This window comes from Homo sapiens, chromosome 6, assembly GCF_000001405.40.
Source record: "Homo sapiens chromosome 6, GRCh38.p14 Primary Assembly".
Classification (NCBI taxonomy): domain Eukaryota; kingdom Metazoa; phylum Chordata; class Mammalia; order Primates; family Hominidae; genus Homo; species Homo sapiens.
This window is the reverse complement of record NC_000006.12, coordinates 149,633,078-149,657,106: the sequence shown is the minus strand read 5'-3', so window position 1 is coordinate 149,657,106 and position 24,029 is coordinate 149,633,078. Positions and strand designations below refer to the sequence as shown.

General features: G+C 43.5%; 1 protein-coding gene across 6 annotated transcripts in view, besides 2 other annotated features; it reads left to right on the top strand.

The window, feature by feature from the left end:
* The window catches only part of KATNA1 (katanin catalytic subunit A1), a 54,118-nt gene continuing 38,205 nt past the window's right edge, over positions 8,117–24,029 (top strand). For 2 of the 6 annotated variants that reach the window (NM_001204076.2, NM_007044.4), the window contains exons 1-2: positions 8,393–8,638; positions 18,547–18,721. In NM_001204076.2, coding sequence (NP_001191005.1) covers positions 18,560–18,721 — 162 coding nt within the window. In that variant the 5' untranslated portion in view covers positions 8,393–8,638; positions 18,547–18,559. Of the gene's footprint in view, positions 8,205–8,392; positions 8,639–8,863; positions 8,987–10,623; positions 10,747–18,546; positions 18,722–24,029 lie in introns of those variants that run through there. The other 4 variants (XM_017010207.3, XM_047418111.1, XM_005266804.3 and 1 more) reach the window with 4 other exon arrangements.
* Positions 8,174–8,443: a silencer, noted in NCBI's record as "silent region_17664". NCBI's record gives its function as "represses an Ori minimal core promoter by ATAC-STARR-seq in GM12878 lymphoblastoid cells {active_cell/tissue: GM12878}" and the evidence as "EXISTENCE:reporter gene assay evidence [ECO:0000049][PMID:35858748]".
* Positions 8,514–8,593: an enhancer, noted in NCBI's record as "active region_25266". NCBI's record gives its function as "activates an Ori minimal core promoter by ATAC-STARR-seq in GM12878 lymphoblastoid cells {active_cell/tissue: GM12878}" and the evidence as "EXISTENCE:reporter gene assay evidence [ECO:0000049][PMID:35858748]".

Here is a 24,029-nt window from a genome sequence, read left to right as displayed (position 1 = left end):
AGGCTATGAATGGAACTTTGGGTTGTTTCCCTTGAGGAAGGGTTAAATTTGTTCTGCAGGAGAAAAAAAAGACTCTCATGAATACCTAGTTCACAGAGGGGTTGACAAATGACAGAGGCCACTCTTGCTCCCCAGTATCCACTCTCCCATTTTTCCTTTTACTAATAGAGCCAATATCCCTTTCTAAGTTTTGACTACCCCAGTAGAGTCCATGTTTCTCCTATTCCCTTGTAATTAGTTTTGGGCACATGACTAGGTTTTGGCCATTGGGACATGAGCAGACGTGGTATGTGCAAATTATACATATAATTAAAGTTGACATTGCTTGCCCACCACTTGCTTTTTACCTCTTCCCACAGGATGGAACACGTACATAGTGGTGACTTTATATTGACCATGAAAATTAGAAAAACACTCTAGTGGCTGGGTGCAGTGGCTCACGCCTGTAATCCCAGCACTTTGGGAGGCCAAGGCGGGCGGATCACGAGGTCAAGAGATTGAGACCATCCTGGCCAACTAACATGGTGAAACCCGTCTCTACTAAAAATACAAAAATTAGCTGGGCGTAGTGGCGAACGCCTGTAGTCCCAGCTACTCTGGAGGCTGAGGCAGGAGAATCGCTTGAACCCAGGAGGCGGAGGTTGCAATGAGCCTAGATCACGCCACTACACTCCAGCCTGGGCAACAGGGCGAGACTCCATCTCAAAAAAAAAACAAAAAACAAACACTCTAGTGATGGTGAATCAACCAAATGAATACAATCTGATTACCTGAGAGACTGTGTGAAGCAGGGTCATCTTTCTACTCTGGACTGACTGCAGAATGTGAGAGAGGGGAGAAAAATCAAATTATATCTATAATATCCATTTGTTACTGCTGCTGAGCCTATACCTTAAGTAATACAGCATGCAATTTGTATTAGTGTATAATCTGATTTGCAGAACAATTTAACAAAGTCATTTTGTACTTTGGCCATCTCCTATGGACTCAACCATAAAATTCAGTTATTTTACCTCTTAGGTTTTTCTCTAATTCATCATCTTTATTCTCGTTGTTAACTAATTTGGTTAAGGTCCTCATCAGCCTGAATTAATGTAATAATTTTCTAACACGAGTCTTACTTTATTCTGGTACCTCAAGTTTATTATCCAACCTGTCAACCAAAATGACCGTAAAAGGTAATTCCAGATTCTGCTTCTAGTACAACCAATCAGATCCTAATGGATTTACTGTATGACAGCTAACAACTATAAAGTCTGGGGGAAAATACCCAACTACCCAAAGATATTGGAATGGAACAAAACCAGGCAAATTCTGGAACGGAGCTGATCCTTGGAAGAGAGGAAGGGCACTAGATGAGTATTCTGTTTTTATGACATCTTGCCTGAGAAAGGCCCAAATCTTTGGCTGAATCATGAATCAAATATGTAGGGAAGGCTGGGTGCGGTGGCTCACGCCTGTAATCCCAACACTTTGGGAGGCTGAGGTAGGCAGATCACTTGAGGTCAGGAGTTTGAGATCAGGCTGGCCAACATGGTGAAACCCCGTCTCTACTAAAAATACAAAAATTAGCAGGTGTGGTGGTGCATGCCTGTAGTCCTAGCTACTCAGGAGGCTGAGGCAGGAGAATCACTTGAATCCCGGAGGCAGAGGTTGCAGTGAGCCGAGATCACCACTGCACTCCAGCCTGGGAGACAGACAGAGACTCCAAAAGGAGAAGAGAAGTGAGCAGAGAGGAGGAGAAGGGAGGGGAGGGAAGATTACTCAAGAAAATCTACTAAAATTTGGTGTGAGTTTTGAGAGTCTGTGATATTTGAACCAATATTCACTTTTAAGGGTTTTCTGTCGCCCATGTTAAGCAATTTAATTACGATGTGCCTGGTGTCATTTTGTTTATTTTTCTTGTGCTTGGGGTTCATTGAGCTTCTTAAATCTGTGAAGCAATGGTTTTCATTAATGCAAGATTTTTTTTAGCCACCATTTCTTTCTTCTTTTTTTTTCCATCCTTTTTTTAATTATACTTAAGTTCTGGGATACATGTGCAGAACGTGCAGGTTTGTTACATAGGTATACATGTACCGTGGTAGTTTGCTGCACCCATCAACTCGTCATCTACATTAGGTATTTCTCCTAATGCTATCCCTCCCCTAGCCCTCCACCCGCTGACAGGCCCCGGTGTGTGATGTTCCCCTTCCTGTGCCCCCGTGTTCTCATTATTCAATTCCTACTTGTGAGTGAGAACATGCGGTGTTTGGTTTTCTGTTCCTGTGTTAGTTTGCTAAGAATGATGGCTTCCAGCTTCATCCATGTCCCTGCAAAGGACATTAACTCATTCTTTTTTATGTTCAGCCACCATTTCTTCCAATCGAGTGCATACTAAAATAATATCTCTGAAAGGTAATGAATGAATTTGGTATCCTTTTTTTTTGAGACAGAGTCTCACTTTGTTGCCCAGGCTGGAGTGCAATGGTGTGATCTTGGCTCACTGCAACCTCCACCTCCTGGGTTCAAGTGATTCTCCTTCCTCAGCCTCCCAAGTATCTGGGATTACAGGTGTCCACCACCACCCCTGGTTAATTTTTATATTTTTTAGTAGAGACGGGGTTTCACCATGTTGGCCAGGCTGGTCTCAAACTCCTGACCTTAGGTGATCCACCTGCCTGGGCCTCCCAAAGTGCTGGGGATTACAGGCGTGAGCCACCACGCCCAGCCCTGAATTTGGTATCTTCAATTGCCTCTGGGAATGGTAAAATGGATTTGTAGGGTGACAAGAATCGTAGAAATACTTCTCACTATATAACCCTTTATATCATTTGATTTTGCATCATGTGAATGCATTGCCTATCCAAATATATAACATAAAATGGAATTAAAAAAACAACTCAAAACTTTAAGTCCAAGTGGAAGAACTGGATTTAGACAAAGGAAGATACACATTCATTGGGACGTGAGGCAAAAACCAAAAGGCAGATGTGAGGCAAAGAAGTTTGTAAGTTGGAGGGTAAGAGTATTAATTTAGGTTAAGCTCAGCTGCACATAAAACCCAAAACAGCCATACCTTAGACATATAATGTCTGAAGTTGGCAGTCCACTTCTGGTATGGCAGCTCCACAAAGTCAGCCCACACTTCATCTGTTCAATTCTGCTGTCCTTGTCAACCTAAAGTTTGCTCTGGTTAGTAGTTGGCTGCTTATGTTCTCTACACCTTGGGTGTGTGTGGTTTTTTTGTTTGTTTGTTTCTTTGTTTTTCGGGTTTTTTTTTTTATATTGCGTCTTGCTCTGTCTCCCAGGCTGGAGTGCAGCGGCACGATGGCTCACTGCAACCTCCGCCTCCCAGATTCAAGCAATTCTTGTGCCTCAGCCTCCAGAGTAGCTGGGATTACAGGTGCCCGCCACCACGTCCAGCTAATTTTTGTGTTTTTAGTAGAAATGAGGTTTTTATCATATTGCCCAGGCTGGTCTCAAACTCCTGGGCTCAAGCAATCCACCCACCTCAGCCTTCCAAAGTGTTGGGATTACAGATGTGAGCCACTGCGCCCAGCCTTCTTTTCCTTGTTCTCACCTGGTGAAAAGAGAGGGGGAGGGGTGGAGGGAGATTTCTATGGCTTCTCCTTTTAAAGATGCCTTCCTAAAAGTTCTACACAACACTTTCACTGCCAGAAGTTAGATCCATGGTCACATCTAGCAGCAAGAGTGTCTGGGAAATAGTCCTTATTCCAGGTGGTCTGATTTTATCAACCAGGTTCTGTTATGAGAATGGGTATTTGGCATCCAGTCTCTGCCGCAGTGAGCAAGCTGAGAGAATTTCTTTTTTTTTTTAATTATTATTTTTTGAGACAGGGTCTTGCTGTGTTGCCCAGGCTGGAGTGCAGTGGTGTGATCTCGGTTCACTGAAAGCTCTGCCTCCTGGGTTCAAGCAATTCGCCTCCCTCAGCCTCCCAAGTAGCTGGGATTATAGGCACGTGCCACCATGCCCAGCTAATTTTTGTATTTTTAGTAGAGATAGGGTTTCACCATGTTGGACAGCCTGGTCTTGAACTCCTGACCTCAGGTGATCCACCCACCTCGGCCTCCCAAAGTGCTGGGATTACAGGCCTGAACCACCGTGCCTGGCCCAAGTTGAGAGAATTTCTGATAGCTTCTATTTCTTTGAGGTTGGAGGCATAGTAATTCACTGAAAGGGCAGAAAGGGCTGGGTAGCTGCCTTTCTGGGGTAAAAGTCTGAAATAGGTTGGGTGCACTGGCTCACGTCTGTAATCCCAGCACTTTGGGAGGCTGCAGTGGGAAGATCATCTGAACCCAGGAGTTCGAGACCAGCCTGGGCCAACATGGTGAGACCTTGTCTCTACAAAAAATTTAAAAATTTTCTGGGCTTGGTGTCATGTGCCCGTAGTTCTAGCTACTCAGGAGGCTGAGACAGGACGATGGCTTGAGCCTAGTGGGTCAAGGCTGCGGTGAGCCGAGATCCTGCCACTGCACTCCAGCCTGGGGGACAGAGCAAGACCCTGTTTCAAAAAATGAAAGTCTGAACTAATGGGAAGAGTGAGACATAACTGAAGTGAGACAGGCAGAAAAATGTTTCGGCTGGGTTAGAAAGACATGAAATTATGGCGCATCAATCTTCACAGAGATGTGATTTTCTTCGTAGCATTCAACAGCCTGGTATTAGCAGATCAGTGATGGAAGCTGTTGTTTAGGAAGAATGTGTATAAGGTTAGTGAAGAACACTGGTGAATCTGTCCCAGTCTGTTACTGCAGCTATGGTGTGACATAATCTAAAAATTCAGTAAATCTTACTTATGGTTAGATTTTTCTAGCCTTATACATACTGTATCCCAGGAGATGGCTCAAATGTTTGAAGTATAGAAGAGGAATGCCAGATGCATCAACCACGTGAGTGAAGTTAATAAACTGGCCCTAAAAGTCCTTTCCAATTTCTCTCATGAAATGTAAAAAGTGTCTCAAATTCTTTTATGTATTTATTTTTTGAGACAGAGTCTTGCTCTGTTGCCCAGGCTGGAGTGCAGTGGTGCAATCTCTGCTCACGGCAACCTCCACTTCTGGGTTCAAGTGATTCTCCTGCCTCAGCCTCCCGAGTAGCTGGGACTACAGGCGCCCACCAGCACACCCACTAATTTATGTGTTTTTAGTAGAGATGGGGTTTTGACATTTTGGCCAGGCTGGTCTCAAACTCCTGACCTCAGGTGATCCTCCTGCCTTGGCTTCCCAAAGTGCTGCGATTACAGGCGTGAGCCACCACACTTGGCCCTCAAATTCTTTGAAATTATTTTATTTATTCTACAAATATCTAATTAACACCTACAATATGCCAGACATTGCTCTACTCAAATGGACAAAGTATCTGACTTCATTAAGTTTACTCACTGGGGCAAGAGAAACAAATATATAATGTGAAGAAGGTCTTCATGGCCATTCACCTTCTGTGTAATTCCAGGGGTCACAGTACCTCTTGCAACAGTCCCCCAATCTATTCTCTCTCCCCTCCAAAACTTCCTACGTTTAGCTGTCAAATTAATCCTCCTATTTGCTATATAACTTATGTCTTCATTTGACACCTTTCAATGGGTCCCCTTTTGTCTACTGAATAAAGTTTAACTCTTTAGCTGGCACCTATCTTTCTACCTCTTTTCCCCTAACTTGTTTTTGTGTGTCCTGTGATTCTGCCAAATTAACCTGACCATTCACCAGGAAAATATAATCTCAGATTTTCTGAGTCACAGTTTGGATACAATCATTTTAGAAGGGTGGTGGTTGTAGAAGCCACACTGTAAAAGAAGAAATGACTCCTAGTCATGAGAGTGGTACACAAATATTCTGCTTCTTCAAGGCACAATGCAGAGATGAACACCTGCATTTCTTTGAAGTCAGGCTTGACCAGTGACTTGCTCTGGCCAAAAATATGTAGGCAGAGCAGCAAGTTTCACATCCAGGCAGAGGCTGTGCAATTTATTTCCCTTTCTTTTTTTCACTGCCAAGGGTCCCACTGCCTGCATCCACTCAAGCTATGAACATAAAAAGTAGATAAGAAAAAAATGCTATTGTTGAAGCCTCTGTGACTTAGAGGTTGCTACAGCATAACCCACTCCTGCCTGACTAGTACAGCTAGTAAAGAAATGGAAGTAGTGAATGTAAGCCACTCTCTGGAGGTTTGTCTTTCCACCTAAAAAAAGTCTTCAGCCAGGAGCGGTGGCTCACACTTGTAATCCCAGCACTTTGGGAGGCTGAGGCGGGCAGATCATGAGGTCAGGAGTTCGTGACCAGACTGGCCAACACAGTGAAACCCCGTCTCTACTAAAAATACAAAAATTAGCTGGGCATGGTGGCGGGCACCTGTAATCCCAGCTACTCGGGGAGGGTGAGGCTTCAACCTGGGAGGTGGAGGTTGCAGTGAGCCGAGATCGCACCACTACACTCCAGCTTGGGCGACAGAGCTACACTCTGTCTCAAAACAACAACAAAAACCCAAAAAATCTTCATATATAATACGCGTACGTACACGTAATAAAATGTGCCCAGTTTGTGTACTGTTGATGAATTTTAATAAATGTTTACACCTGTGTAAGCACTACCCTAACAGAACATTTCCTTTCCATCACCTTAAATATTTCCTGGGGACTTTCAGCAATCTATTTCTTCTCCCCCTCCTCCTGAATACAGCCTCAGGCAGCCAACCACTGATCAGCTATTATTATAGATTAGTTTTGCCTGTTCTAAAATTTCTTTTCTTTTTCTTTTTTTTTTTTTTGAGACAGAGTCTTGCTCTGTCACCCAGGCTGGAGTGCAATGGCGCGATCTTGGCTCACTGCAGCCTCTGCCTCCTGGGTTCAAGCGATTCTCGTGCCTCAGCCACCCAAGTAGCTGAGATTACAGGTGTGCGCCACCAGACCCAGCTAATATTTGTATTTTTAGTAGAGACGGGGTTTCACCATGTTGGCCAGGCTGGTCTCAAACGCCTTGACCTCAAGTGACCCACCCGTCTCGGCCTCCCAAAGTGCTGGGATTACAGGTATGAGCCACCGTGCCTGGCCTAGAATTTCTTATCAATGGAATCATACAATATGTATTAATTTTGTGGCCTTTGAGAAGTTTTTTAACTGTAAATTGGCTTTATAAATTAGCATACCTTTGAACTCACATAAAGGATGAAGGTTGAATTAGGGTAATTAATCTGTACCTCCCTGAATTGGTTTTGATTCCAAAAATATATACTAAATATAGTTTCCTGTTCCCTATTACAATAGAGTTCATATTTACTACAGTGAAACTATCATTTTCCACTCAGTTGAGACGTTACAAGACTTTAAGCCCCATGAAACATTCTATTTCGTGACCACTGTATACCCAGTGCCAACACTGTCTCACACATAGTAGTTGCTGAGTAAACATTTGTTGACTGAATGGATGTATTTCCCCTGAATTGCTTCTACATGTCTATGTTAGATGACTGGGGTGCTTTTATTTTTTTAGAGATAGGGCCTCACTTTGTCTCCCAGACTGGAGTGCAATGGCGCCATCATGGCCCACTGCAGCCTCCAACTCCTGGGCTCAAGTGATCCTCTTGTGTCAGCCTCCTGAGTAGTTGTGACTACAGGCGTGCGCCACCATGTCCAGCCAATTTTTGTACTTTTTGTAGAGACGGGGGGTCTCACTATATTGCCCAGGCTGGTCTTGAACTCCCGGCTCAAGCTATTCTCCCGCCTCAGCCTCCCAAAGTGCTGGGATTACAGGGATGAGCCACTGTGCCCAGTCGGGATGCTTTAATGTTAGAAACTTAATTACCTTGCGTTTTTAAAGGAATGTGTGAGAAGTGCCCTATTCTGCCTCAAGTGATGGCAGAGGGTGGAGATTGAGACTGGAGGAAGCCCTGTGCAGTACATATCTGTAAGTCATGAAATAGCATCATTTTCCTTGTCTGGTCATATTAAAACGGTGATTAAAAAATCAAGAAAATAAAATCCCACTAGCAGTGTGTCCGAGAATCTTTGTTTACCTCCTCCCTATTGTTATGTCATGACATGGAGCCCAGCTGGGGAATTCTGAATACTAGGTTCTAAAACAGGATTTGTCATAAACGAATTGCTTGATCCTGGACATTCACCTCTAAAATAGACACCTGACCTCGGTGTGTGTGTGAGTGTGGTGAAAATCAAGTGGGAGGGAAAGTGAGCAAGCACCTGAACAAGGTACAGAGGCGCGCGAGGTAGTACCATAATACCATCTACACCAAGGTCTATACTATCCCTGGTCTCCGCTGCGTCCGCCGGGAGGAGGCGGTGCAAGAATGCGCACGCGCGGCCCCGGGCCCGGCCACACCCTCTTCCGCCGCTCCCGCCCAGCGACCTCGCTCCCGGGGCGACGCCCCGCGTGCGCCAGAGTCGCCGAGGTCGTCCCCGGCACCGGAAGTGACCCTGGCGGGTTTGTCTTCAAATTCTCGGCGAGCAGGAGCCGCGCCGGCAGGTGGTGTTGACGATTGAACTGGGCAGTACTGGGGCCGTGAGCGGAGAGCAAAGTGGGCTGGACTGGGTCAGGCCCTCCTTCCTCGCTGCCGGGATCTCCACTCCGCCAATCCCCTGTGCCTGGCGTTGGGCGGTTTCCCGAGGAGCTTGGGCCGCCGCAGGTGAGTTTTCACTCTGGCGGTGCTCTGGGGACCCCCGATTTTCCAGGGCCGGGCTGGTGAGGGACTCGGGGGGCCCACAGCGAGAACCCGCCGCGCAACCCTCCGTGAGCCTGCCTGTGCCTGAGCTGAGGTCCTAGGTCCTTGCTGTTGTCCACGATAACTTGGCTTAGGTGACAGTCCCCCTACCTGAGGAATCCTGTCAGGCGGAGGACTTTTCGGGGGCTCCTGTCGATCCCATCTTTTGATCTGTGTCGTTAGCGAAGTCACCAGCCGAGTTTTTAGTTCTTCGATTTTTCGACTGGTTCTCTCCAGAACCCGCTCACGCCCCCCACCCCGAAACCCTCACAGGTAAAAATCCCGATGGCCATGACATTGGGAGGCAACTTCTTTTCTTAAAATTTGTTAGGTTCGAGTGATATTGTTGGGGATGTTATTTCTTATTTATTCTAGAGCCCGGCGTCCTCTGGAAGGCCTGTGGGCCTTTTGGTTTAGAGTTGGTACCTTTTAGAAAAGTTTTCCCTCGAAACAGTTGTTTCATACAAATGTGATGACAAAGTTAGAGATAAACGTAGATCCTGAAGTGCCTTACAGTGGATAATCTCAAGCTCTTATTTAATCAAAAATAGTTTCCTGTTAAAACCGCGAAGGGCCGCTTTTATATTAGTTACTAACTTCCAACAGCACAGTGATGCTCTTTTCTCTTGAAAGCACTAATTTACGTCTTCCTCTTTGAAATTAGACCTCTAGTTATTGCTGAAAACATTCCCGATGTTTTAGAATGGGTGCAGTAGATCTTTGTCACGTAATCACAATGATAATCACCTTAGTAGATGTTAAGACAGATTCTTGAAATGTTTTTACGGGCTTAAATGTCTCAGTATAAAGCCCTATTTTCTTTTCCAAAAGAGCTGGGTTTTGTTCTTTTTTTTTTTTTTTTTTTTTTTTTTGAGACGGAGTCTTGCTCTGTCGCCAGGCTGGAGTGCAGTGGCGCAATCTTGGCTCACTGCAACCTCCGCCTCCCGGGTTCAAGCGATTCCCCTGCCTCAGCCTCCTTGAGTAGCTGTGACTACAGGCGCGCTCCACTACGCGCGGCAAATTTTTTGTATTTTAGTAGAGATGGGGTTTCACCATGTTGGCCAGGCTGGTCTCGATTTCCAGACATTGTGATCCGCCCGCCTAGGCCTCCCAAAGTGTTGGGATTACAGACGTGAGCCACTGCGCCCGGCCGGTTTTTGTTCTTATACCAAGAAATAGGAGCAAAACTTTGTTTTGTATTAACATTAACAAGTTGTGGCCTGTAAATACCTTTAAAAAAAAAAACACGCAGTAGTGATCAACTTCCCAACATTCCTAGACTATGAAAAGCTATATAAAGCTTCTTTATAGCGTTGGTTATTCAAGAAGCGTTTACATTTTTATAGGTAATAGGCATGCTATGTAGTCCACAAGGGATTCTCCACCTCATTTTGAAACTGGTATCAAGATGCTGACAAATATTGAGGATTAGAGAATCTTGTTGAATTCACTCTATTAACAACATTGTTGAATTTCTATTAACAATAGTTTGGGTTTTTTTAGCCACTTGACTGTTTAAAAAAGATAGTATTATCACATAAATATGGTCAGTGTTGATAACATGCCAAATAGCTTTTGCTTGTGGCGTTTATCGATAGGGCTTGAATATGACTTTTAAATTACGTTTTAATAATTAAACTCACTGATTTGTTTGTTTAGGGTAAACTGAAAGTTTACTGTACAAATAGAGTGGACTTTATATGTACTTTTTTTCTGAACAGGTTGCTTTTTGGTGTTTTTAAAAAATAGTGGTAACTTTCTTGTGCTTAAGTATTTATCATATGATGGTTATAAAGGTAAGAAAAATGTATGCCATGCTGTAATTGGTCATGGGTCATTCATTTATTGTGCTTATTCGTAATCATCAGTGGCTGACTATAAATTAGCATGTGGTTTCTTTCATATCCCAGAGATGAACATTCTGAAAATTACTTACCAATGTATGGCCACTTTTGAAGTCATATACACTTGCTTTACTGAAATGCCTTCAGGAAGATGCATGATTGGGCTTCGTGATCTTTTTGTTTTAGGAGGTAAATTTTACAGAGAGGTATTTAAAAAACACTTTCAGCCTTCCAACATTGCTGCTGATTTTTTAGTCTGTGTTTAATAATATTCTATGTTTGTCTTCTCTTACTAAGCAAAGAAAACCCACCTAGAATAAATAAGGTGATATCCCTTCTATTAAACTTCAAGGATTTCAAGGTCTAATTCTGTCTTATTTTTGTCTTCAGTGCAATTCCTTGCAACTTAGTTGGTGTTCCTTTAATATTTCTTGAATGAATGACCCATGCACATTATGTTAAAAAAAACTGCAAATAAGTGGAGCCCAGCCTGAGTCCTTTAAAAATTAAATGGGTAAGGTATCCTCTTTAGGTGTGAAATAGGCAGGGCCCTGTATTTGTTGTTTAGAGAGAGAATAAGAATCTTAGAACTCAGATATTTCAATATTTTGCCTGTTCTTTTTCAGTCTCTGTGATCACTTCTTTTTCCTAATCCTAGAGGAGAAAAAAAAAAACTTTCTCTGTGGAGAGACAGCACTGCATCACATACTATATTGCTAGAAAATTTGCTGTAAAATTGCGATTTCAGTATTTTTAAAAATTTGATTCTGTCACTTGAGTTAAAATTTCACATTGCATCTTGCTTACTCTAAGTAAGTTAATTTAGTCATTAGCTAACTCATAAATACTCAAGGCATGTAAGCAAAAGGGTGGTTCTGTTAGAATAATGTAAAGGAAAAACTTGCTGTGAATAAAGCAGGCATAGTGTATGGTTATCCTTCTCTCTAATAATCTGTGTAACCAAGAGCCTGAATTTTGGGGCAATCTCATCTTTATAAGTGTTCTATTAATGTTGAACCAATAGATTGTGTTTATAGTTCATGGTGCTTACACTGAGTCAGTCAGCTTTTTTTTCTTTCTTTTTTTTTTTTTTGTTTTTTGTTTTTTGAGATGGAGTCTTGCTCTGTCGCCCAGGCTGGAGTGCAGTGGCGCGAGCTTGGCTCACTTGCACGCTCTGCCTCCCGGTTCATGCCATTCTCCTGCCTCAGCCTCCCAAGTAGCTGGGACTACAGGCGCTGGCCACCACGCCCGGCTAATTTTTTGTATTTTTAGTAGAGATGGGGTTTCACTGTGTTAGCCAGGATGGTCTTGATCTGACCTGGTGATCCACCTGCCTCGGCCTCCCAAAGTGCTGTGATTACAGGCGTGAGCCACTGCGCGCGGCCAGCTTTTTATTTCAAATGGATTCAATTCTTCAAATATTGCCAGATATTGTGCTTAATACAGCCAGTTTCTAGTCTTCCTGCAGTGGAATTTTAGCAATGATAAAGATATATTGTTGAAAATTGGGATAATTTCATAAATTTACAGTTGTGACATTCGAGAAGGATGTTTTGGGCTTAGAGAGTAATAAGGGAATGGGGAAAATTATTTTCGGCTAACAATTAGGGAACTAAGAGTGCTTTAATACTATTTTCTGCAAGCACATTGTTTCTTTGATAATCAGGGATTTTTCAAGTCATTTGTTAATGTGGCCTTGGATTAGACTTTACATTCATGTTTGTTAGAAAATATCAATTCATTGGCTTCTAAAGAATTTTATCTGACTAGAAAGAGTTCAAAACATGGAACCTTTAAAGAAGGCTTGGAGGGACTTGTATGAGTTTTGGGCCGTTGAATCATGGCCCTCAAGAAAAAAACGAGGACCACCTATATATAAGTAACAACTTAATTTAAATTTATTTTTATTTTATTTTATTTTATTTTTTTGATACAGAGCCTTACTCTTTTACCCAGGCTAGAGTGCAGTGGTGTGATCACAGCTCATTGCATCTTTGACCTCCTGGGCTTGGGTGATCCTCCCACCTCAACCTCCTGGTAGCTGGGACTACAGGTGTGCCCTGTCATGCCCAGCTAATTTTTTGTATTTTTTGTAGAGACAGGGTTTCACTATGTTGGCCAGGCTGGTCTTGAACTCCTGGGCTCAAGCAATCCTCCCACCTTGGCACCCCAAAGTACTAGGATTACAGGCGTGAACCACCATGCCTGACTATTTTAGATTTTTTTTAGTGGGAAAATGGGAAGAAAGATCTCCAGGGAGACTATTAAGGAAAAGAGGGAGAGAGGCTTTCATGTCAAAAGACATGAAAGGCTTTTGACATCCAAGCTCATCTAGAACAACTATATACTTTTAGCAGCGGGTCCCAATTATACTTTTCTAACACCCTTGCCCAGACTAGGTGTCTCTGTAGGGCATGGATGGCTTCAGGGCAGAAGTAATCACACAAGAATCAAGCTGTAATCCCAGCTTGGAAGGGATGAGCTGAGGATCAAGAATGTGACCATGCTGAGGGTCAGGAACTGGACAAGGTTACGAACTCTTGGTAGTTACAACAAAAACCTGGCCAGGCATGGTGGCTCACGCCTGTAATCCTAGCACTTTGGGAGGCTAAGGTGGGCTGATCGCTTGAGCCCAGGAGTTCAAGACCAGCCTGGGCAACATGGTGAAATCCCCATCTCTACAAAACATACCAAAAAAAAAATATATATATATATTAGCTGGGTGTGGTGGTACACATCTGTGGTCCCAGCTACTCAGGATCAGTTGAGCCCAGAAGATCAAGGCTGCAGTGAGCTGTAATGGCACCACTGCACTCCAGCCTGGGCTGCAGAATGAGACCCTGTCTCAAAAAAAAAAAAAAGGACAACAACTAGGCAGTATTCAGTCATTCAAAGGTTGATTGAGATCTACATTTGAGGACATGGTTCTAGGTGCTAGAGATGTATCAGTAAATAACAGAGAGATATGGTCCTTGGCCTTTAGGCTTTTATTAAGATAGAATATGATCAGTGGTCATGAATCCAGGGAGGCAAGATTTAGGTGATAGGATTTTATTCCTTTTCTTTTGGAGCTCAGATGCCCAGTCTTGAGTTACTCATAGACCTTAGTTCATAGCTATATTGCTTCATAACAGATTATCCCAAAACTTGGTGACTTAAAACAACAGACATTTTTTATCTCTTTCACTGTTTCACTGGGTCAGGAATTTGGGCATGACTTAGCTGGATGCCTTAGATTCAGGGTGTTTCTCAGAGCTGTGATCAGGTATTGGCCAGGCCTGTAGTCATCTCAAGGCTCTAGTGAGGAAAGATTCACTTCTGATCTCACTCACATGGTTGTTGGCAGGATTCAGTTCCTCAGGGGCTGGTGGACTGAGGGTCTCAGTTCCTCACTGATTGTTGGCCTGGATCCTGCCTCAGCTCTTTGCCACATGAGCCTCTGCCCAGGCAGCTCACTCTGTGGAGCTGGTATTCCATTTGAGTGGGGCCAGCAAGAGACAGCAAGCAAGATGCAAGTCATAGTCTAATCTCGGAAATGGTATTATGTTATTTGTTACAGGCACACATTCAAGGGGTAGTAATTATATAAGGGTACAGATACCAAGAGGCAAAGGTCATTGAGTGCCATCTTAGAGGCTCCCTATGATTATCCATGGATATAAGGCCCTTCTTTTGTTATATTTATTTTTTGTTTCTCTCCTACTTGTCATAAGCAATTTCTCCACTCACATATTTTCCTCCTCACCTTCCATAGACTCTCTAATATATTTAAGGTACTTTCTTGGATATGTATGCATCCTTTAAAAATGAGTATTTTATATAGCATATGTATTTTTAATTTATAAAATGACATTGGGATTTAGATCTTGTTCTATGTCTGAGACCTTTTTTTAGCCAACCCTGTATTTTGATGATCCATCCATGTTGCTATATGTAAATTTTATTCATTGCTTCTGTCTGCTACATGGTACCATGTGGTCTGTATCCACCATATTTCCCCTAGCAGGGAATAAATAGATTGACTCTACTTGATTTCTCAAAGATTTCTGTCATTAATGTCCAAAACCAAGTTCCTTTGTGGATCTGTGTGAGACTTTCTCTGGAAGATTTACACAAGAGTGGGATTGCTGGGTCATGGGGTGTATATATACATATATATGTGTGTGTATGTGTGTGTCTATGTACATATACATGCATACATAATTTCCCCAAGTACTGCCAGATTGCACTCCAAAATGACTATGCCAGTTTATTCCTGCAAATTGATGTAAAGATTTCCTTTTTCCCAAATCCTTGCCAATACTTAGTATCATTGCTTTTTTGAGTCTGGTAAATAAAAGAGGTCTCTCGGCCAGGCGCATAGGCTCATGCCTGTAATCCCAGCACTTTGGGAGGCCCAGGTGGGCGGATCACAAGGTCAAGAGATTGAGACCATCCTGGCCAACATGGTGAAATCCCATCTCTACTAAAAATACAAAAATTAGCTGGGCATGGTGGTGAGCGCCTGTAGTCCTAGCTACTCGGGAGGCCGAGGCAGGAGAATTGCTTGAACCTGGGAGGCAGAGGTTGCAGTGAGCCGAGATCACACCACTGCACTCCAGCCTGGGCAACAGAGTGAGACTCTGTCTCCAGAAAAATAAAAAATAAAAGAATAAAAAGAGGTTTCTCATGGCTTCAGTTTGTATTTATTGGTCACTCCTGTCTGTGCTTGTTAGCTGTTTGGGTTTCCCTTCTGTGAATTGTCCTTTATGCTCTGTCCTCATTTTCTTGTGAGGTACTTTTGTCCATTAATGTGAAGAATTACAGTGATAGATTTTCTGATCTTAAGTCATCCATGCATTTCTGGGATAAACCCTTCTTGATCATGTGGTGTGTGTCTTGATGCATTGTAGGTAAACTAATATTAGGATTTCCATGTTCATAAGTGAAATGGGTCTTGTGTTCTTATTCAGTTGAGATGATTTCAGCCACATAAAAAAGAGTTGCTCAGCTTTTCTCTTGTTTTCTGGATCAACTTTTATGTGGTTGGAATTATTTCTGTTTAGAAGTTTGGTTAAAAAAAAACCCCAAGGCAGGCCAGGCGCTGTGGCTCACACCTGTAATCCCAGCACTCTGGGAGGCCTAGGCGGGTAGATCCTGAGGTCAGGAGATTAAGACCATCCTGGCTAACATGGTGAAACCCCATCTCTACTAAAAATACAAAAAATTAGCCGAGCGTGGTGGTGGGCGCCTGTAGTCCCAGCTACTCGGGAGGCTAAGGCAGGAGAATGGCATGAACCCGGGAGGCGGAGCTTGCAGTGAGCCGAGAACATGCCACCGCACTCCAGCCTGGGTGACAGAGTGAGACTCCATCTCAAAAAAAAAAAAAAACCCGAGGCCAGACCAGGTGCGGTGGCTCACACCTGTAATCCCAGCACTTTGGGAGGCCGAGGTGGGCAGATCACCCGAGATCGGGAGTTCGAGACCAGCGTGACCAAAATGGAGAAACCCTGTCTCTACTAAAAATACAAAATTAGCCAGGCGTGTTGGCACATGCCTGTAATCCCAGCTACTCAGGAGCCTGAGTCAGGAGAATCGCTTGAACCCGAGAGGCGGAGGTTGTGGTGAGCCGAGATTGCACCATTGCACTCCAGCCTGGGCAACAAGAGCAAAACTCCGTCTCAAAAAAACAAAAACAAAAACAACAACAACAAAAATACCCGAGGCCAGGCATGGTGGCTCACGCCTGTAATCCCAGCACTTTGGGAGGCCGAGGCGGGCGGATCACGAGGTCCCAAGATCGAGACCAACCTGGCCAACATGGTGAAACCCTATCTCTACTAAAATACAAAAATTTAGCCGGGCGTGGTGGATGCATGGCTGTAGTCCCAGCCACTCTGGAGGCTGAGGCAGGGGAATCGCTTGAACCTGGGAGGCAGAGGTTGCAGTGAGCCGAGATTGCGCCACTGCACTCCAGCCTGGCAACACAGTAAGACTCCATCTCAAAAAAACAAAAACAAAACCCAAAAAAACCCAAAAAAACCCCCACCATACTTACAGAAATCATCTGGGCCTGGAGCTTTTTTGTCTTTTTTTAATGTTTTCTTGAGACACAGTCTCACTCTGTCTCTGTTGCCCAGGCTGGAGTACAGTGGCACTATCTCGGCTTACTGCAGCTTTGACCTCCCCAGGCTCAGGTAATCCTCCCACCTCAGCCTCCTGAGTAGCTGGGACTACAGGCACACACCACCATGCTCTGCTAATTTTTGTATTTTTTGTAGAGATGGGGTTTTGCCGTGTTGCCCAGGCTGGTCTTGAACTCCTAGGTTCAAAGGTTGGATTAGGTTCTCATATATAGAAAGTTTCATGGCAGACACATTTAACATTTATTGAAGACCTACTATTTGTCAAGTAGTATGCTTAGTACTTTAAATAGCCATTTATTGTTTATAGCGTAACTCCTGAAAGTAGTTGCTATGGCAGTTCCACAGATATTAAAACAGGCTTAGAAAAAAGTTAAGGGACTTGATTAAGGTGGCACAATTATAATTCTAGCCAAGATTTTTCTAACTTCAAAATACATACGCCTTCTGCTAATCCACACTGCTTCAAAAAATGTATCTAATATTCACTATTTATTCTGCAGATGTTTAATAAAATGTGTGTCATGCAAGGATCATATAGTCTCACACCTTTCAGATGCAAATCCTACTGTCAGATAACAGTCTACTAGAGATAAGACATATATAGAAACTGTAATTTGAAGTAGACAAGTGTCTTGGGATGAAAGTCACAGTAAAGTGCAAGGGGACTTTAGAGGAGGGAGAGTTTATTTTGAACTGAGGAGTTCAGGGGGTAGACATACTAGGAAAACTGCCATCTGAGCTGGGCTTTGACAATAGGGAGGGTTTGAATGTGGGAACTTTTTTAAAACAATGTTTTAAATTTATTTTATTTTATTTTTTTATTTTTTGAGACAGAGTCTCATGCTGTTGCCAGGCTGGAGTGCTGTGGTGCGATCTCGGCTCACTGCAGCCTCCGACTCCCTGGTTCAAGTGATTCTCCTGCCTCAGCCTCCTGAGTAGCTGTGATTACAGGCACGTGCCACCATGCCCAGCTAATTTTTGTATTTTTAGTAGAGACCGAGTTTCACCATGTTGGCCAGGATGGTCTTGATCTCCTGACCTCGTGATCCACCCACCTCAGCCTCCCAAAGTGTTGGGATTACAGGTGTGAGCCACCGCACCGGGCCTGTTTTTTGTTTTGTTTTGTTAAACAGAGTCTTGCTCCATCTCCCAGGCTGGAGTACAGTGGCACGATCTTGGCCTACTGCAACCTCTGCTACCCTGGTTCAAGCAATTCTTGTGTCTCAGCCTCCCAAGTAGCTGGGACTATAGGCATGTGCCACCACGCCCAGCTAGTTTTTACATTTTAGTAGAGACAGGGTTTCGCCATATTGGCCAGGCTGGTCTTGAACTCCTGGCCTGAAGTGAGCTGCCTGCCTTAGCCTCCTAAATAAAATATTTCTTTGAGGCCAGGCGCGGTGGCTCATGCCTGTAATCCCAGCACTTTGGGAGGCCGAGGCGGGCAGATCACCTGAGGTCAGGAGTTCGAGACCAGCCTGGCCAACATGGTGAAACCCCATCTCTACAAAAATACAAAAAAAATTAGCCGGGCATGGCGGTGGGTGCCTGTAATCCCAACTACTTGGGAGGCTGAGGTGGGAGAATTGCTTGAACCCGGGAGGCAGAGGTTGCAGTGAGCCGAGATCATGCCATTGCGCTCCAGCCGGGGCCACAGAGCGAGACTCCGTCTCAAAAAAAAAAAAAAAAAAAAAAAACAATGTTTTTTTTAAAGGAGTGAAATAGCATGAGCACACATATAGAGATGGGAAGTGTGGTATGTGTGATTGTTTCTTGAGGGAGCCCTGGAAAGTATTTTTTAATAACTATACTTATTTTTAAGAGACATGTAAACCTAAAGTGTTTCTTTTTTTCTTCTTCTTTTTAGCTTACAGTTGAACATGAGTCTTCTTATGATTAGTGAGAATGTAAAATTGGCTCGTGAATATGCATTGCTGGGAAACTATGACTCTGCGATGGTCTATTATCAGGGAGTTCTTGACCAAATGAACAAGTATCTGTACTCAGTCAAAGATACATACCTCCAGCAGAAATGGCAACAGGTGAGAGTAATGGCTGCTGTATGTTTTAATGGCTTAAGTACTCGGAAGAGAAAATTTAGATCAGATGTCAATGCTGTATGTAGTTACATGTTAAGACTGTATGACTACCGAGCACAGTACACAGTGGCTCACTCCTGTAGTCCTAGCACTTTGGAAAGCCAAAGCAGAAGGATCACTTGAGGCCAGGAGTTCAAGTCCAGCCTAGACAACATAGCAAGACTTCATTCTACAAAAATAAAAAAATTAGCCAGATGTGGTGGTGTGTGCCTGTAGTCCTAGCTACTAGGGAGGTTGAGGTGGGAGGATCACTTGAGCCTGGGAGATTGAGGCTGCAGTGAGCTATGCTTGTACCACTACACTCCAGCCTGGGCAACAGAGCTAGACCTTGTCTCAAAAATAAAAAACAAAACAAAACATGAGTATGTGAGTTATTACACAGATTTCTATATAATATTACTTGACACTTTATTATATGAATAATAATCCACTTTCACCATCAGCAGTATTATGAGTTCTACTTAATTCTAATTGCTGGAATCTAATAAGAGGGGTTTTTTTTGTTTTGTTTTTTCCTCGAGACAGAGTTTTGCTCTTGTCATCCAGGGTGGAGTGCAGTGGCACGATCTCGGCTCACTGCAACCTTCACCTCCCAGGTTCAAGCCTCCCGAGTAGCTGGGATTACAGGCGCCTGCCTCCACACCCAGCTAATTTTTGTATTTTTGGTAGAGACGGGCTTTCACCATGTTGGCCAGGCTGGTGTTGAACTCCTGACCTCAGGTGATCTGCCCACCTTGACCTCCCAAAGTGCTGGGATTACAGGCATGAGCCACCACGCCTAGCCAAGAGTTTTTTAAAACAATGGTTTTGACATTTTTTGATCAGATTTTTACTTCGTAAAAATAGAGTAGACTTTATTAAGCCATTGTCGAAACTGTAAATGGCTTGTGAATCTCACAGGTACCATATTTTTTAAAAAACTTTTTGAGAGAGGGTCTTGCTCTCTTGCCCAGGAGGGAGTGCAGTCTCTACAGCCTTGACCTCCCAGGCTCAGGCTCAAACAATCCTCCCACCTCAGCCTCCTGAGTGGGTGGAACCACAGGTGTTCCCCACTGTGACCTGCTAATTTTTCAATTTTTGGTAGAGATGGGATCTCCCTATGTTTGCCAGGCTGGTCTCAAACTCTTAGGCTAAAGTGATCCTTCCACCTCAGCCTCCCTAAGTGCTGGGATTACAGGTGTGAGCCACCATGCCTGGCCTCATATTCCTTGTATAATAGAACTTTATGAAGCAGATTATGTTGAATCCCATTGAGAAACTTCAGTTACTGAGGACTAACAAAAATTTAAAATTGGAAATTGTAGAACTTACAGGTCCAGTGGAGGGTGGTATTTCTAACAAGGCTCAACTATGTCAAAGAGGAAAAAAAGGTTAAGAAAATAAGTCTTGCGGGGCATGGTGGCTCACGCCTGTAATCCCAGCACTTTGGGAGGCTGAGGTGGGCAGATCACCTGAGGTCAGGAGTTCGAGACCAGCCTGACCAACATGGTGAAACCCCATCTCTACTAAAATACAAAAAAATTAGCTGGGTATAGTGGCGGGCATCTGTAATGTCAGCTACTTGGGAGGCTGAGGTGGGAGAATCACTTGATATCAGAAGGCAGAGGTTGCAGTGAGCCGAGATCGCACCATTGCACTCCAGCCTGGCAACAGAGCAAGACTCTGTCTCAAAAAAAAAAAATGAAAGTAATAGTCTTTTTGAGGTGGTCTTCTAGATAGAATATTATACCTCAGATTCTGCTGAGCTGCTTTTTAAATATTGTTCAATATTTGTCCTTAATTTTTTTGAGAGAAACAGCCTATCTCTTTGAACTTCATCTATTTTCCTATATCTGTCCCTCCATATCCTTTACCATATCCATGTAATTACCAGAAAGGGCAACTATTTTATTTTATTTATCTTTTATTTATTTATTTTTTACAGACATGGCATCTCACTATGTTGTTCAGGCTGGTCTTGAACTCCTGGGATCAAATGATCCTCTTGGCTCCGCCTCCCAAATTCCTAGGATTATAGGCATGAGTCACCATGCTCGGCCTAGTAAATATTTTATTTCATAAGGAGTCTTAAGTTTGTCAGTGAAGGACTTTTTAGATCTTTTGTTGTTAGGCCAAAGACTTTTACTTAAGTCTAAGCTTTTGTTTAAAGGTACTTAAGATTAAATCATTTAAGTTATAAAGCAAAACATTATCATCTTAAATTTCATTTCAATATTATATATATAGTTTATTTTTATTTTTATTTTTTACCATTTTCTGGTTTGTTTTCTTTTGAGATGGATTTTCTCACTTGTTGCCCAGGCTGGAGTGCAATGGCGCGGTCTCAGCTCACTGCAACCTCCACCTCCCGGGTTCAAGTGATTCTTCTGCCTCAGACTCCCGAGTAGCTGGGATTACAGGAGCCCACCACCACACCCAGCTAATTTTTGTATTTTTAGTAGAGACGGGGTTTCACCATGTAGCCAGCTGGTCTCAAACTCCTGACCTCAGGTGATCTGCTTGCCTCGGCCTCCCAAAGTGCTGGGATTGCAGGCATGAGCCACCATGCCTGGCCTACCATTTTCTTATTGTGGTAAAATATACATAACACTTTACTGTTTTTTGTTTGTTTGTTTGTTTTGAGACGGAGTCTCACTCTGTTGCCCAGGCTGTAGTGCAGTGGCGCAGTCTCGGCTCATTGCAACCTCTGCCTCCTGGGGTCAAGTGATTCTCCTGCCTCAGCCTCCCGAGTAGCTGGAATTACAGGTGTGTGCCACCACACCCAGATAATTTTTTTGTACTTTTAGTAGAGACGGGGTTTTTGCCATGTTGGCCAGGCTGGTCTGGAACTCCTGACCTCAGGTGATCTGCCCTCCTCAGCCTCCCAAAGTACTGAGATTACAGACGTGAGCCACTGCACTTGGCCTTGGCCATTTTTAAGTATACAGTTCAGTGGCATTAAATACATATATAATGTACAACCATCACCATATATAGTTTTTAGGCTGAGTTAAGACCCATTACTATAATACAGTTGAATCAAAACTATATATAGGTTTTTGAGGGTTTTTTGGAGGCAGAGTCTCGGTCTGTTCCCCAGGCTGGAGTATGGTGGTGCAATCATGGCTCACTGCAGCCTTAACTCCTCAGGCTCAAGCAATCCTCCCACCCAGCCTCCAGAGTAGCTGGGGCCACAGGCACAAACCAACATGCCTGGCTTATATTTTTTTTAGAGATGGGTTATTGTTATGTTGCCCAAGATTAGTTTTTAAATTGCGTCAAGATTCCTTTTCTCTTTTATTTTTGAGGTGGAGCCTTACTCTCAAAACTAGGGCCATTTTACTGCATTCCAGACTGGATGACAGAATGAGACCCTGTCTCTAAAAAATATTTGAAAAAAAAAAAAAAGACTGCTTTTAAAAAAATACCTTGGTTGCATATGAATTGAGACCTATTTTAGTCTGTAGGTTGTGACCCATTAGCCATAAAATTAGTATATTCTGATCAGTGTTGTATTGATTTTTAGAAATTATTTACTGATATATAATAGTTGTACATATCTTGGGCATACACATTATATTTTGATTCCTGTATACAATATCTAATGATCAAATCAGGGTAATTGGGATTAATCAGCATTTTAAAAGTTAATTAAACAGAATAAAAATTATCAAAGTAGGGCTGGGCATGGTGGCTCACACCTGTAATCCCAGCACTTTGAGAAGCTGAGGTGAGAGGATGGCTTGAACCCAGGAGTTTGAGGTTATGGTGAGCTATGATCGTGCCACTGTAGTACAGCCTGGGCAACAGAATGAAACCTTGTCTCTAAAACATAAAAATAAAAGTTTGACAAAAATGAAACTTTCACAAGTTGTGCTTTGATGGTTTTTTTTCCCCCTTGGGCTCAAGCAATTCTCTCACCTCAGCCTCTAAAGTAGGCAGGACTACAGGCATGGGCCACCATGCCCAGCTAATTATTCTTGTAGAACTTTAAAGTTATGCCTAACTTTTCAATTTGTTATGCAATTTATTTTATTTTATTTTATTTTATTTTATTTTATTTTATTTTATTTTTTTGAGATGGAGTCTTGCTCTGTTGCCCAGGCAGGAGTGCAATGGTGCGATCTCGGCTCACTGCAACTTCCGCCTCCTGGGTTCAAGCGATTGTTGTGGCTCGGCCTCCCAAGTAGCTGAGATTCCAGGTGCCCGCCACCACACCCAGCTAATTTTTGTATTTTTAATAGAGATGGGGTTTCAACATGTTGGCCAGGCTGGTCTTGAATGCCTGACCTCAGGTGATCTGCCCTCCTTGGCCTCCCAAAGTGTTGAGATTACAGGTGTGAGCCACCGCGCCTGGCCTGTTATGCAATTTATTTATTTATTTATTTATTTGAGCCGGAGTTTCACTCTTGTTGCCCAGGCTGGAGTGCAATGGTGTGATCTCCGGCTTGCCGCAACCTCCGCCTCCCAGGTTCAAGCGATTCTCCTGCCTCAGCCTCCCGAGTAGCTGGGATTACGTGCATGTGCCACCACACCCGGCTATGCAATTTAAATAAGAATATAAATTAGTAGTATGATTTAGTTAGCCTGGATTTTTTTTTTATTTTTTATTTTTTTGAGACAGATTCTTGCTATGTTGCCCAGGCTGGAGTGCAGTGGCGTGATCTTGGCTTTCTGCAACCTCCATCTCCTGGGCTCAAGAGATTCCCCTGCCTCAGCCTCCCAGGTAGCTGGGCCTGTAGGTGCCTGCCCCCATGCCTGGCTAACTTTTTGTATTTTTAGTAGAGATGGGGTTTTTACCATGTTGGCCAGGCTTGTCTCAAACTCCTGAGCTCAAGTGATCCATCTACCTCAGCCTCCCTAAAGTGCTGGGATTACAGGCGTGGATGTTTCCTATCCTGGATGTTTTAATTCATTTTATCAGAATTAATTTTGCAATTGAGGGCCGAGCGCAGTGGCTCACGCCTGTAATCCCAGCATTTTGGGAGGCCTAGGCGGGTGGATCACGAGGTCAGGAGATCAAGACCATCCTGGCTAACATGGTGAAACCCTGTCTCTACTAAAAATACACAAAATTAGCCAGGCGTGGTGGCGGGCGCCTGTAGTCCCAGCTACTCGGGAGGCTGAGGCAGGAGAATGGCCTGAACCCAGGAAGCAGAGCTTGCAATGAGCCGAGAGTGATCACGCCACTGCACTCCAGCCTGGGCGACAGAGTGAGACTCCATCTCCAAAAAAAAAAAAAAAAAAAATTGCAATTGAAAACATAAATTTA